Below are 16423 nucleotides of genomic sequence, written 5' to 3'. Positions count from 1 at the left end.
CCTTGTGGTAATAATACCAGTCTGCACTTGCTCACAGTCATGGCGAGACCATCCATCAACAAGCCTACCTGCCCACGGTCAAAGAGAGGAGGGCCCAGTGACCTAAGACAGATCATTCAGAGTTTTCCAAGAATTTGAATCTTGATCAAAGTGACACAGAGAAAGAAAATGGTTGGAGCCAAGTTGTCCTAACCACAGCACGCTGAAACAATTGCTTTTAAGCTTTTGACACCTAAATCTCCATAGCTACCCTCTCTCCTATCTTTTCTGAGATGTAATGCTTTATCTTTTCCTATGAGCTACCCATGGGTTTCTATTAAGTGTATCCCTGTTAATGTTTATCAGAGCTGGTCTCTGTTGCTGACAACCAAGGAATCCTAACCGAATCCTCACCCCAACCTTCCTTACATGATTTTGTTACTATTTCGTATCCTGCTTACTGTAACAGGAACCATCACTTATTAGACCAGCATAAATTCCATTTTATTATCATTTTAAATGTTATTAAACTAATGACTCAGGATCAAAAAATGTAACATAAAAGCTCTATGATGTACAAAATATTCAGTTGGTACGAAAGTAATTGAAGTTTTGCACCAACAAATTCCCAAATTGTCCTTTGGCACTATACAGATCTATGGAAGTTGGACCAGTTTGATAGACACTATTCTATTCAAGCATCACTCACCCCAAGTAAGAGGTGCAACTTTCCTTCAGAATACAATGAATGGAAATCAATCTTTTTTCTGAGTCTCATTTCCAACTCGACCTGTGTCTTGGCGCACCAAACACTGAAACAACTTTGCATTCTCTGAACATTTTGCTTTATGGATTTTACAACGATGACAGAGGTCTCAGGAGGGTCTAACTTTCTCTATCAATTTAAAAAAACCCTAGACACAAGCTTAACAGAACAAGAGTATTACAATTTTATGTCTTATCCTCCATTTCTTCTAAACAGGAAGGGTGAGTACAGAAGTTCCGTAACTGAAGGGATTGCATCTAAGCCTGGCAATGCCTGTGGCTTAAAGTTTATTTATCTGAAACAAAAACAAAACAAAACAAACACCCTTTTAAAGATCAAAACTATTGTGGCAGTATGGAAAGAGGGCTTGTAAGAGTTATGTAAAAAACTACAAGCTTTTGGACTTGCTGATTTGATAGTTTTGCAACTAAGAATGGAAAATAAGCATTGCTTTTGCAAACTCGCAGGAAAGGATGCGTAATGGAGCACATGGATTATTTCAGGGGATGTGCTAAGACTCCTTTGAATAATCAGCTTATCATTGTAGCTTTTTAGTGAAGGGAACTAAATTCTTCAGCATCCATATAAGTATTTCTTTCTCCTATGACTTTTACAAGGTGGAAAGCTGGTGGGATGAGTAGACTTCAAGATATCCCAGGGTAACTTTCTTAGGATGAAAGCTTTGCCTGTTTTCCCTGGTTCTAATGTCAGAGTTTCTTCCCTGCTTGCTAAGGAAGAGAACCTAGGGAGAGAGTTCTAATTCTTTCTCCATCATGGTGTTACATCCCAGAGGATAAGGAAAACCCACATGTGCGGTACCATCCATAGCCGCAGCCAGCATCTGTGACCTTCTTAAGCCCAGGATCCTTCTGATGTCTCAGTTTGTATAAAGTGAGGGCAAGACATTCTCTAGGGCTAACCAGGTCACATTCATAGGCATAACCCTAAAGCCGGCAGCAGCTAGAAAGCTCCAGATAACTGTACCAGTGACAGCCACAGAGGCCTACCTACCTTGACCACAGTATCAACTTCGGAAAGAATCTGGAGGGATGGAAAGTGCTAGTAACAGAAGAATCAAATTAAAATGCACTTCTATAATAGGTGTGAACTGCTCGGTTCCCAAGGCATCCTTCCCAATGCAAGATGATGTTGACTTTGGGGCGCTAACCCTCCCTATCTGCCAGGAACCTGAGCCAAGGTTTCCTCTGGTCCACACTGCACTTCCCCATCTGAGGCCAGGGAGTGTCCAGACAGCTAAAATAGCTGATCATGTTCAATCGGCCCAGTTTTGCCAGAAACCAATTGGAAAGCACAATCATCTAGAAGAGTTTGCTAGACAGCTCTTTTAAAAAGAGAAAAGAAAAACGAAGCCACCCAAATCCTATGCAGTGTCTGATCCTGGCAGGGCTCCCGATCTGCCTCCTAAATGCCAGGTTTCCCTCCTGCTGCTGCTTCCGCTCTTGCTTGGCAAGGGGGAATATAGGCTTTTGGCAAATGTGCTTTCCAGTTCCCCGAACACAAATAACAGAAAGAAAGACAGACAAGGAAAGAACAGGAAAGGGAAGGAAGAGAAGGAAGTGAAAAATGCAGAATGTAATTCCACATCTCAGCTAACATTTATTTTGCCAACCAAAAGAAGAGAAGGCGAGGGAGGGAGGAGGGGAATAGATTTGAGAGAAGGAGAAAATAGGAGGGGAGGAGGAGAGATGCTGGGTCGGGTGGGGAGAAAAAGGGCAGAGGGAGAAGACAAAGAAAAGCAAAAAGAAAAGGGAAGAGGAGACAAGGGCAGAAGGAAAAACGGAGAGTTTGAAGAGTAAAGCAAATTTCAGGTCTTTTCCGCCTAACGATGGACTTTGTTCGAGATTTGTTTAGAGATGACAGTTGTGTGGTTTATTTTTATTTTGAAGGGTTTACTTTCATCCCTAGAGATGGACCTCTGGGAAGGGTATACCAACGATTCAGCCTCCCTTAAAGCAAGCTCTTCCTTTTAGTCCCAGTACAGGCCAAGTTTTAGGCAAAGAGGCTACCCACTTCCTGTCCAGACCCAGGGCAGCCTCCTTAGGTCAGCAGAGCACAGACTCTCCCTCAGCCACCCTTTGTTCCATGGCCTGCAGAAGGAAGCCCCTAGGTGCACAGAAAGTTCTCTACCCTTTAGCACTCGGCCTTCAAGAGGGGGACCTTCCTGCCAACAAAGCAATCTTATTATTTTTCCAAGCATTTTTCTCCCCTTAATAAATAATGATATTAGGTCTTTGGGGGGTAAAGGGAGAGAACTGCCAAGGAGAGATTTAATTTGCTGTAATCAACCCCTCTTAGCATGCGGAGTCACACAGTATGAGTAAAAGAATTAATCTCTACCAGAAAGAATCGCTTCTTCGGTGTTACGAATCTAATCACTTAGGAGGCTGAGTCGGCATTTTGGGTTTAGACAGGGCTCTCAGGAATCAAAGCCACAAGATCGGGTTTCAAATGCGATCTGAATGGCAGACTCCATTGAATTTGGGGGCCTGCAAACTAAAAAGGAAATGGAATGCAAATAGAGGTGCTAGGCCTCTTCAGACACCTCCATGCTCAAAACGTTTAGGGGACGAACACCTAATTGCGGGCTTTCTGGGCTACCCATGTGAGGTGCTCCCTTCGCGATTCCATTTTCCAGGATGGATTGTCAGGCCTGCCAATCATCTCTGGCTTCCCCATTATACTTGGGAGATGTGTTTGCTCTGTGCACATTGTTTTATAATCCTCAGAGGTGGAATTTCATAGTCCGGCAATGCTTTTGCCTTTGACGTTCTCCTAAGCAGGATTTATTGCTTCCAAACAGATGTGACTTGAATCGATTATGCATTTTAAGCAGTCACTCTCAAGCAGCCTCCAGGTTCTGTGGAACACTTTTTGCCTGACTTCATTCGACTTGCAAGCTGATGTCAGAGTGTTTCATCATCATCTAATACTATTAAGGGCCCTGTGGGTATGGAACTGAGAGGGCTATTATACCAACCAAGTTCAAGGATGTGGTTACTACCCTTGAAAGGCTTACATCCTGCAACACAAAAACCTAAGAGATGCCTATTAATATCACAAAATGCAGACTGAACGAAAGGATGTTCAGATAAGTTATATCTACATTCTATCGGCCTCCCACTCTTGATGAACTTAGTGTATGAAAATGAGTACAATCATTTGTCTTTGGAATTGAGAGAAGAAGCAGTGTTAAAGCACAGATGGAAAATAAGTGAATTAGCCCCCGAAATGCCCAATAAAGAGTCTTTTTTTAAAAATGACATATTTTTACGTGTCTACTTCAAAACTCAAAATCACATATCATCCCTGGCCATCCCCAAAACGTTGGGATTCCTTGGCATTTTATAAGCTTGGCAACACTCATCTGAGACACTAGCAGGATACAGGACTGGGGTTAGCAGGTGACATGATCCCAATTGACTTCAGCAAGGAACGGAGGATCATAACCAAAACACTGTTTCAAAAAGTTAGCGGTTTTAGAAGAAAACCAATCAGAGTGGTATACTAAACTCATCACAACCCACTTCATCCTTTGTTAGTTTAAAAGACAGAAGCAAGGAATCTTGGAATGTTAGGAGGCAAAAGAAACAATGGGGTTTCCACATGACGTTTCTACCTGACCCAGGTAGACACCTACCTTCAGGAAAGAGGAAGAAGATGTAACCCACCTTCCTTTTTAGCATATGACTTAGGAGAATATCCACCATATCCCACTCCATTTTATCTGGCCATTTAAAGGAGAACATTCTAGCAGTCATCGATTTGGGATCAGGAGAAAATATGATAAGAAAATATTCCTACACGATGACTACACGATAGGGGATATTTTAATCTCCTTAAATAAAAAAGGGAAAATTCATTGTCAACACCACAAAGGATGAAGGCTCTCTAATGAATTAGGCACTCGGTGGGAGCAAACATTTCCGGAATATGAAACATTTTTGAAATCCAGTTCTAGGCACTAGTAAGCTCGGATGTGAAGGAGAAGAAAAATATGCACTTTTTTCAGTACCTTAGGTTTTGCAAACTGGAGTTTACACACAATGCCTTTTGGGATTCATTTAGGCAGTTCCCTTGGCTGAGGTGCTGGCTACAGGATTGGGACCAGGCATTTCGAGGAAAGCTAATCCTTTCAAGAACAATTTGCTCTCTTTTATTCAGTAAATTCTTCTAAATTTCCCTTTTTTCTGAGTTTCAAAATTGGCTGTCATAGCTTCAGAATCCTTCCTTTTTCCACCAGACAGGCTGGGGGAGAGAGGAGAAGCTGAATGGGCTGTTTATAATGAAGGAGAGCAGGAGAACCGTGAATAGGAATGAAAGGCTTTGCATAATTTGGGCCATCTCAACAGAGGGCCTCAAAAATCCCATGGGGCGGCTTCAGGCATTGACAGGTGAGACAGGCACAAAGGCACAGCCAGTTAAAGCCGTATTGGTACAAGACCCGGGCTTCGGGATTGATTTTAAAAATAAAACATAAACCACTACCAGCGTAGAAACAAAAGCAAAGAAACCACAGTTCAAAATCTCTGCTACAGAGCGGAATGAAAGAAACCACCAACCATTCTGACCTCAGCAATGCTGAACAGAAAACAAGCTCAGGAAGAAATCCCCGGGGCAAATGAACACAAAAATCACCAAACCCACAGAACATTTCCTGAAACATTTCCCGACACTGAAGAGGTAGGAATGACAATTAGATCTAGCTCAGTTTGGCTTCCCTAACACAGAAAACTATCAATTCTCTTAAAACACTTGGTGTTTGTCTATCAACACGTCTGAAGAGACCCACCAACAAAGCCAGAAGGAGTAGATAACTTTTAAATATTTCGATAAAATAGTACACAAGGAGACACCTTGAATAACATCTCAACAATAGCCTACAATGAGCTAAATACCTTCCTCAATAAATTCAGCGCTAGCAAAACCAGTGCTGATGTACTTACTGGGGCGGGGCGGGAGGAGTACAGCAAATGCACCAAAATATTCATTAGTTACTTATGCTGTTTGGGACAAGTATTTGCTCTACTCCAAAGCCTTTGCCAGCTATGATGCCTGCCAAGTTTGTATGTAAATGGATTTTCACTTTTCCAAGGCTAATGGGAGATCTGTTAAATTCTCAGAGACAACAAATATACTGTTCTTAAGCTGTATTACTTTGACTTTTTAAAAAGCTATTTTAATACTAAATTCCAAATAAGATCTAATCAGAAATCCAATACTCAACATATCCAATCTGTTATATCAGAAAAACAGGTTTCAATAGGTGTGGTAGTTGAACATTTTTGGACAGCTTATGCCAAAAAGAAAAAAAGATTCCACCTTCTCCATAGAGAATTTCTGTATTGATCTTTGTACCTGAGCATCCATTAAGAGGTGCCTCATCAATATCATGGAACTCTTCAGAGTCTCCTTCTCAGTGGGTAGAAAAGGGTCTTTGTCCTCCTCCAGTGCCTTCGACTTGGTGACAATAAAATGGGAAATCTGGTCATTGAGGGTGTGCAATGATTGCACAGCTGTGGAAAGAAAAAGAAGGAAAAGTAGAGTCACAACTGGTAACTTTCAAAGAGAAATTGACTAGCCATTTTGAAGAGAAAAGTAAGGGTGTACATACAAGGTCTAAGCCAGGCATGTATCAAGAACTTGACACATCTATAAATTCCATTAACAAACATGTTCAGTAACTAACAAACACTTATTGAACACCATTCAAATGCCAAGCCTACATAGAGTGCTTGGGGATACACTTGTGAGCAAAGCCTGACATGGTACCTACCTTCATGGAGTATCTAGTCCTGTTGCAGAAACTTAAAAAAAAAAATCAAGGTGTTAAATAGATACATGAATATGACTTTGTGGTAAGTGTTTATAAACTGCAGAAATTAACGGGGCATGAGAGGACAGCCCTAGACTAGATTTACATTTATGGTAATACAGTTGGCTATTGTACCTCTAAGCAGATGGCCTCTGTCATTAAATTTTATGAAGGGACAGTGGCCATGTTTTCCAATCAGTGCCACATGTGGGCTGAAAGGATTATTATTTCTCTATAATTCCCATAGCACTTACCATCTGATGTGTTATAGATTTTAAGATTTTACTTATTATGGTTGCTGCCTCTTTCTCTATTTTCTCTACAATGGACTTGATCACAGCAGAGAGGCTTCTTTTAATCTCTTTGCTTACTGTCATCTCCCCAAAAACTAGAACAGCACCTAGCAAATGGAAGGTGCTTAATAAATACTGTTGAATTAATTCCTTACATCTCTGTGAATTAATATTTCTTTCCTCATGGAATTTCTATCATTTTCAGGTAAATCTATCCTTTCAAACCCCAAATAAGTAAATTCTAGGCATTCTCCATAAAGCCACTGCATTTGCCACAATTATGAAAAGAAAAATGTCATTATCAAGGAGCCAGTATACAATAGAGGGACTTTGAAGACTTCTGGCTTTGGCCATGAGGGTCCAGATTATCCTCTTGCTGTAAATAACTATAAAACTGAACACTATGTTAGAATCAACTATTTTTAGACATTGGACAACATGGGATTGTGATCCTTGAGAAAATATGAAAAAGCAAGTTGAGTCCTAATATCTCCATGCATTCTGCAAGGACAGAATTTCCAGACTCCAGCATAGAAAAGAGAAATCCAGAGAGAGCCCCGCAATGTCACTGAATTAAGGAGCTGGAGATCAGGAAGACTAAGTTAGCTAGGATTTCCAGGACAAAGTTCTAAAAGAGCAGGAGGGCTACACCTAGATCTCCAAAGATCTGCAAAGGGGTTGCCTTTGAGTTGCTGGCTGAATATCAATCCTGTGTCTGGGCAGGATAAAACTCTACATGACCAGCAAGAAAAACGTGCAGGAAAGAACAGTTACAGGGGAGCTGCAGGCCAAATAATTTCAAGAGATCACGTGTCCATAAATTGTTGACATGCTCACCAGCCAAAGAGGAGGAATTTGGGTGGAATATGGGACACATTCATTAGAGACTCCAGAAGGGCCAGGGTGTAGAAATTAAGCAAAATGATTCCTAGAATAAAGGCTATTCCAGGCCCTTCCAAAAAGAGCTTAAAAGTAAGCCATGAAAGAGGTGAACTGATCTGCAAGTAACTAAAATACCTGCCAAAAAAGTTAGCATTTTTATAGAAGTGGAACAAAATATAGTACCCCAAAATGTAACATTCATAATGCTTAGGGTTCCATAAAAAATTACCAGACATACAAAAAAGCAAGAAAATGTGACTAATAGCTTGGAGAAAAATCAGTATACAGAAACAAACCCAGAAATAACAGAAGTGATAGTATTAGCAAACATGGCTATTCAGACAGCTACTAAAAATATGCTTTGCTTGTTCAAGGTTGTAAAACAAACATGAATATAATAAAGAGAAAAGTAGAATATTTAAATCAGAACCAAATGGAACCTCTAGGGATGAAAAATGCAAAATCTGAAATGGAATTCTCATTGGATGAGATTAATAGCAGATTAGACAATGGAGAAGAAAAGATTGGTGAACCTGAAATCATAGCAATAAAACTATCCAAAATTAGTGACAATGTAAGTCTATAAAGCTAACGTATATCTAATTGGAGTCTCGTTGGCAGAGGTGGGGAGGACAGGGAAACAGAAACAGTAGTTGAAGAACTAAAATTGTATTAGTCTGTTCTCATTCTGCCATGAAGAAACATCGGAGAGACTGGGTAATTTATAAAGGAAAGAGGTTTCATTGACGCATAGTTCCGCATGGCTGGGGAGGCCTCAGGAAACTTAAAATCATGGCAGAAGGCACCTCTTCACTGGGTGGCAGGAGAGAGAATGAGTGCCAGCAGGGGAAATGCCAGATGCTTATAAAACCATCAGATCTCCTGAGACTCACTCATTATCATAAGAACAGCATGGAGGTAACCGCCCCCATGATTAAATTACCTCCCACAGAGTCCCTCCTATGACACGTGGAGATTATGGAAACTACAATTCAAGATATTTGTGTGGGGACACAGCCAAATGCTATCAAAAATGAACAATTTTTTTCCATATTTGATAAAAACTATAAACCTATAAGAATCTCAATAAACTGTAAGCAGGATGAACACAGAGAAGGCTGCAACAAGGCATATTATAATCAAATTACTAAAAAAAAAAAAAAAAACACACACACACAGTGAAAATGAGAAAATCTTAAAATCAACCAGCTCCCCTGTAACTGTTCTCTCCTGCAAGTTTTTCTTGCCTAGTCATGTAGAGTTTTATCCTGCCCAGACACAGGATCATAGAAAAAAGGCATGTTACATTTAGAGACCAAAAAACAATGTCAGCCTTCTCATCGGAATCTATGCAAACCAGGAGATAAAAAAAAATTGACATTTCGAAAGTACTGAAAGCAAAAAACTTGCCAACCGAAATTGCCAATGTACAGTTCTATAACCATCAATATCTTTCAAAAATGAAGGTGACTTTTTTAGATAAACAAAAGCTGAGAGAACTCATCACCAGCAGATTTGCACTAAAAGAAAGGTTAAAGAAGTTACTTGAGGCAGAAGGAAAATGACATTAGGTAGAAACTTCTATTTACAAAAATGAAAAAAGAATGCTTGCAAAGGGAAATGTTTGAGTAGCATAAACATGTTCTTTCTCATCTTTTAATTCATTTAAAAGATTATTGATGGTTTAAAGCAACAACAATAATAATATCCTGTGGGGTTGATAACTTACATAGAGTAAAATATATGACAATAACAGCACAAAGAATAAGCAGGTGCCAATGTAAGCATATTGTCTTTTTTTTTGAGATGGCGTCTCGCTGTGTCACCCAGGCTCGAGTGCAGTGGCTCGATCTCAGCTCACTGCAACCTCTGCCTTCTAGGTCCAAGTGATTCTTCTACCTTAGCCTCCCGAGTAGCTGGGACTACAGGCACGCACCACCACACCCAGCTAATTTTTGTACTTTTAGTAGAGACGGTGTTTCACCATATTGGCCAGGCTGGTCTCGAACTCCTGACCTCGTGATCCACCCGCCTTGGCCTCCCAAAGTGCTGGGACTATAGGCATGAGCCACTGCGAACAACCTAAGTTTTAGATCTTATACCTAAAGTGGTATAATGTTATTTGAAGGTAGACTGTGTTAAAGATGGATATCGTAAATCCTCGATTAATCCCTAAAAAAATTAAACAAATAATAAATAAATAGAAGATGGGTTTTGAATCATGGAGAATCAAACTTGGAGGACTGAGCATACAGTGGCAACTATAGGCCATAGGGTAGGGAGAATACCGGATATGACATCAGAGCTGTGCCTCGTTGCATGGGAAGACTCCACAATCCTTTCCTGGGCTAGAGGGGAGCTTGGCTAAAACAGAGAAGGATGGACTAGAAAGAATATGGCCTGATTCTCACTTAGCCTGAATTCTGTTCTCCACTGCAGAGGGTTAGAAACACCCAGACAGATTTGGGGATCTGAAAACAGAAGTTCCCTCATGTCTCATACCCTGCCCTGGGCAGCTGTGGCAGCTGTGGCAGCTGATATTGGGGTGGAAATGGTGACCCTGTGGCATTTTAAGTTACAGAGAATCTGAGATAGCTCTACCACCTACACTCTCATCGCTCCACCTCGTCTTGCTTAGTGTTGAGCAACTGGGGTTGATGATACCTCAACCTAGTCCAGAAACGGCCAGAGAGAGATTCATGGACAAGCTATACATCCCAGGACAAGATAATACATAAGCTCCCTGAGAACCCAAACAGAAGGGGAAGAGAAAGGGTAGGGGAAGCAATTTGAATTTATTTGATATTTACTCAGAAGATACTCACTTTTAAACCAGAAGTGACTGAGTTACCCTAAGTGGAAATAGGTGCTCCAGATCTAAATTGAGTTCCATTATACAAAGTTAAAAACAATACCACCTGACTTTTTAGCATTATGACTATACATTTTAAACTTCTGTGTATATCCCCTGTATGTTATCTGCAAACAGGAAGGTTAGGACATGCTGAGCCATGAGGAGAAGAGTTGGCAAGGGCATTAAAATAACCTACCCATGGTCTACGACAAATCTTTGCTCAATTTATGCCTCATTTTCCTCTACCATCCTGCCTTCCCTTCCCCAAACTCCCAATACACAGACTCCATGTTCTTAACAAACCTTCTTCCCAAATCATTCTGAGAGTACCTCAGTTCCCACGTCCTTTGCTTACACATGCACAGACATTACTATTAACAAAACTCCTTATGCCAGTTCTTGGAAGACAGGAGTTACTGTCCTTGCTTTTCACTCTAAGTAGGCTAGCGGATTTGGGGTTCTCAAACTGCATCTATTACAACTTGTTTCTTTCTTTTGCGTACACTACTCACACACAGTACAACTCGTTCTATCCTTGTTCCAGAAAATTGAGGCTTAATCACCAAAACATGCCCTAAGTTTCGCTTTGTTCTAAACACAAAAGACAAATTGAAAGATTTAAGCACCTCCCTGTCTGCTCAAAGAATAAATTCCATCAGAGAACTTACCACATTGTATGGCAACTGCTTAAGAATCCATCCGTGGGCCCGGCGCGGTGGCTCACGCCTGAAATCCCAGCACTTCGGGAGGCCGAGGTGGGCGGATCACGAGATCAGGAGATCAAGACCATCCTGGCTAACACGGTGAAACCCTGTCTCTACTAAAAATACAAAAAATCAGCCAGGCGTAGTGGCAGGCGCCTGTAGTCCCAGCTACTCTGGAGGCTGAGGCAGGAGAATGGGGTGAACCCGGGAGGCGGAGCTTGCAGTGAGCCGAGATTGCGCCACTGCACTCCAGCCTGGGTGACAGAGTGAGATTCCATTTCAAAAACAAAAACGAAAACAAAACCCATCCATGGTAGATTGAATTACTGGTTCAAAAACTGCCCCTCTCTAAACCAATGCCTACAGTCCTCCCTAGTGACCCTCCCGTGGGAGAAACATTCTTCCTGCCTTCACTGATGTTAAGTTTTGCCATATGACTTGCTTTGGCTAATTAAACATGAGCAGACACGAGCTAGACCGTGCCCAAGCTGAATCTTTAACAGCCATCACATGGCCCCTACTTACCCCTCAGTTTTCCCACCTGTACAGAGTTGCTCTGAGAATTAGAGACAGATTGTATAAAGCACGTGTCACAGTACCTACCACATGATAAGCATGTAAAAAAATGTTAACTATTAGATTATCATTCCAGTTTGTACCTCAAATCTTTAACATGCTGATATTAACTAATTGTTCTGATTATAATTGAGATTAATTTTTAACTCCTTGTTATATAAGTGAGCCAAAGATGGTCTCTGTGTATTGGCCCTTTGGTTATTTATTTCTTCTTTGCAGGCTCAGCCCTGCTAGCTCACAAGCCCACCAGAAACAAACTCAAAATTTTCCACATCTAATTGCTTTAAACATAGCTCAAATAAGCAGATGTTTAGCCATTTAGAGCCTGCCTTGTATAATCCGCAAAACTGCTCCCAACACCTGTTAGCCTTAGATAGGCTAAACCCTGAGCCATAAAGACCCCAAACTTCTGCTCTTCAATGCTTCCTGTCCTGGAGGCTCTCAAGGAGCTACTGAGCAACATCACGTTGACACATAAGTTCCCTCTCTACTCCCCATCTCCCTGGGTTTGCCTTGCCCTCCTTTCCTTCTGAGTGTGGACCCCCTGCACCTCTGGACAGTCTCCCACCGTGCGGAACTTCCCTTCTTGCCAGCCGGTCAAAGCATTCCCCAACAAAGCTTGAGTGTGCTACCACCACCTTTTCGCCAGCCCCCAAATCCTGTGACCTCCCTATACCACCCATTTGTCTATTCAGTGTGTACCCTCAGTTACAACCTGTCCAGTGCTTCACACCCATTGAAAACATAATTAATGCAAGCTGAATATGTGGAAGTAATGATATCGAAGAGGAATGCCTTTTCCCATTTGTTTCTATGTACAGACCAAATATTCAATGCTGGTCACCCTGTGTTAGGTTGTGTAATGGACATTTTATATTTCTGTCTGGTTAGCATCTATTTCCCTCTTCTAATAAAAGCAGCTCTCTTATTTTGTAGGAACATTCTTTCCATGTGTGGTTTATTTAGGGCTGATTCCACTCCCAAGTCCCTGAGGTGGGCACGTGGTCCAGGCCTGGCCAATCCAAGCGTTTCATCTCTTTGGCAACAGTGGTTGGTTCAGCAAAGGACATGTGAACCAAATGCAGCCAAACAGGTTTAATCTCAGGACAATTTGATGGAACTATTGAGAAAGAGATAGGCTCCTCAAGTTGGGCGGGGCGGGGCGGGGAGGGGAACTACAAAGCCCACCAGCTGCTTCACATTTATAACAATTTACCACTCCCAGCTGAAAAAGAGAGGTTAGCTATCTCTTTCTCAATAGTTCCGGCGGATAGTCCTGGGATTCAATCTGCTTGGCTGTGTGGCCTCTTTTTCAATTGGGATTGGTAGACTGGTAGGACTGTGGAGCAGCTGGTGGGCTTTGTAGTCATCACTTGAGGAACTCTTGCCTGAGAATAAAACCAATTGAGTAAATGGAGGTAAGTGGAGCTGAGAGACAGGGAAAGTGGTCCTTGAAGACATCATTGCAGCACAGGATTCAGCCACAGACTTCTCAGTTAAGTAGGTCAGTAAATGCCCTTCTTTTCTTTAGCCCATCTGAGTTAGGTTTCTATCATTTGCAATCAGGAAGTCTTGATTACTATAAAGATGCTTGTACTCTTTCTTCACTGCAACAGTTATTGGTGTGGTTATTTCTTGAATGTCTGTCTCCCTCTGTTGCACATTAAAGATAATCTTAAATTTTTTGCTACTCCTCCCCTTGAGAAATAAGGTCAGAATCCCCTCCTCGTGAGTCTGGCTGGCCTTAGTGACAAGGTTGTCCCCACAGTAAGTGGCAGAAGTGGTGCCCTGGGATTTCTAAGGCTAGGTCATAAGAGGTCTTGCAGCTTCTGCCCATGATTCCTGGAATGCTCCTTCTGGGAGAAGCTGCCATATAAGAAGTCTGAGGCACCTGAGACCGCCATACTTGGAGGAAGCCCACACTCACAGCATGGAGAAGGAGATGCCCAGCCATCCTCAGCTTTCTAACCATCCAGCCCAGGTGCCAGATACACGAGTGAAAAAGCCATCTTGAATATTCCAATCCCAGAAGGTGCAATATAGAGAAGGGCCAAGAAATCCAGCCATCCGCCATCACGGAGGCCCTTGCCATGGCACCAGCCATCTCAATGATTCAAGTCATCCCAGATGAGGCCACAGCCACTGTGGAGCCTAGCTGAGCTCCTCCCTGTGCAATACCCAAATTCCTGGCCCACAAAGCTGAGAGCATAATAAGGTATTGATTTCCATCGCTTAGTTTTGGAGTGGTTTGTTACACAGCAATAGATAACAGATAACTGTATCACCCTCATGGAACACATTTTAAGTTGTAAGTTCCATGAGGTCACCAATAGTATATTTTTTTGGTTAATCATTGTATCCCCTGATTTAAGCATAGGACCTGGCACATAATAGTGCTCGAACAAACAAATATTTGCCCAAAAGGGCAAAAAAAGAACAAATAAATGAAGAAATGAAGGAAAAAGCCAACTCCACTCCACTTCATCCCCTCCCTCTGCCCCATCATCCTAGAATTGTGTGGTATGCACATTCTTCTCCATTTGGCCTATAGACATTTCAACTAAACAGTGCTGTTCTTAAAATGTATGATGGATTACAAAAATGAAGAACCATATATATGCTTTCTTACCTACCTGAGTTTAGGAAATTGAGTCATAAAAACCAGTTTATTTGGTTGGTTGTTTTGAATGTGAAATGATGTTCAATTTATGCCATGTTATTTTGGTCTACAAATTTAAAGCAACTTGTATTTCTGTAGTAGGCTTATTTATACGAAGGGCTCATTTCAATTTCACTGTACATTAATGAGTATTTAGGTTACAGATAAGTGGTACATTCATGAGTTGGCAGAGGAAAAAAATGACACGCTTTGACATTTTGTGTCATTAGCAAAAATAGAAGATACACATACAATTTCTTAATGTTTTCAGAAGAGAAATAACAGCTTACCGTACTTTGCTTCTGTCTTATGGATCAGATGAAGTATAGCCCATGAAATAATAATAATATGACCCTAAACTCTTTTTATGTAGATGAGTCCAGATGTCACTGAGATGGGCTATTATACATTTTTATAGAAAAATATACCAGATGAGTCATATCATGGGGCACAGCCTTGCCACAAGAAGCTCCATGGATTTTATGATCTTGTCATTTATATGGTCCATAGATATGAACTAATGACCAAATTTATCTCTGCATGTTAAACAACCTTTGCTTTCGTGTATCTCAAATTCTATGATGTATTTTGCATTAAAATGCTCACAGGTTTCCAGTTCTTGCTTTAATATGGTCTCATTAAATAAATGAAGCCTAAATAATTCAGATTTTCCCCCCATTATTATAATAAAACTCATCCTATAAGTCAAAAGTTGATGCTGGAGGCAAGGATGTGGAGAAATGGGAACCCTCATAGGTTGCTGGTGGGAATGTAAAATGGTCCATCCACTGTGGAAAACAGCTTGGCAGTTCCTCAGTAAGTTGAACACAGAATTTTCTTATGAGCCAGGAATTTACTCTTAGGTATATAAGCAAAAGAATTGAAAACAAGTGTTCTAGCAAACACTCACACATGAGCATTCACAACAGCACTATTCATAGCAGCCCAAGGTGGAAACAACCCAAATTCCCATCAACTGATACATGGACTAACAAAATGTGGTATATCCATACAATGGAATACTATTCAGCTATACAGTAGGAATGAAGTGCTGCTGCATGCTAGAATGTGGATGAATCTAGAAAACATTATGCTAAATGAAAACCGGACACAAAAGACCACACCTTGTAATTCCATTTTTAAGAACTGTACAGAGGGCCAGGAGCGGTGGCTCACACCCGTAATCCCAGCACTTTGGGAGGCTGAGATGGGTGGATCACGAGGTCAGGAGTTTGAGACCAGCCTCATCGAAACCCCATCTCTACTGAAAACAGAAAAATCAGCTGGGCATGGTGGCAGGCACCTGTACTCCCAGCTACTCAGGAGGCTGAGGCAGGAGAATCGCTTGAACCCAGGAGGTAGAGGTTGCAGTGAGCTGAGATTGTGCCATTGCACTGTAGCCTGGGTGACAGAGTGAGACTCTGTCTCAGAAAAAAAAATAATTACAGAATAGGCAAATCCTTAGGAGCAGAACATAGGATTAACTGCTTAATGAGTACAGGGTTTCCTTTTGTGGCAATAAAAAGGTTCTGGGACTAGATAGTGGTGATGGTTATACAACACTGTGAAGGTACTAAATGCCACTGGATTATACACTTTAAAGCAGTTAACCTGGTAAATTTCAAGCTACGTGCATTTTACCGCAATTTTTTTTAAGTTGATACTGGAACATCTTTCTAGAATCAGACACTGGAGTGGTCTCTGGCATGTAAGGATGCCACTGCTGACCCTACCACTGGGATTTGTCTTCTGGTGGGATCAGGGCAAAGCCAGACCTATTTTTTTTTTTCTTTTTACCTTGACCCAGTGAAAGAGTCATAACTTACAAGATTAGACAGGTTTAAAAGTAGGTAATGAAACAAACCCTTAGAACCACG

General features: G+C 41.4%; 1 protein-coding gene across 6 annotated transcripts in view; it reads right to left on the bottom strand.

The window, feature by feature from the left end:
• The window catches only part of KAZN (kazrin, periplakin interacting protein), a 1225220-nt gene that overhangs the window by 931330 nt on the left and 277467 nt on the right, over positions 1-16423 (bottom strand). For all 6 annotated transcript variants that reach the window (XM_011541074.4, XM_005245795.6, XM_011541080.4 and 3 more), the window contains exon 2: positions 6122-6279. In XM_011541074.4, coding sequence (XP_011539376.1) covers positions 6122-6279 — 158 coding nt within the window. The remainder of the gene's footprint in view (positions 1-6121; positions 6280-16423) is intronic.

Source organism: Homo sapiens, chromosome 1 (assembly GCF_000001405.40).
Source record: "Homo sapiens chromosome 1, GRCh38.p14 Primary Assembly".
NCBI lineage: Eukaryota > Metazoa > Chordata > Mammalia > Primates > Hominidae > Homo > Homo sapiens.
This window is presented reverse-complemented; position numbering and strand designations above follow the sequence as displayed.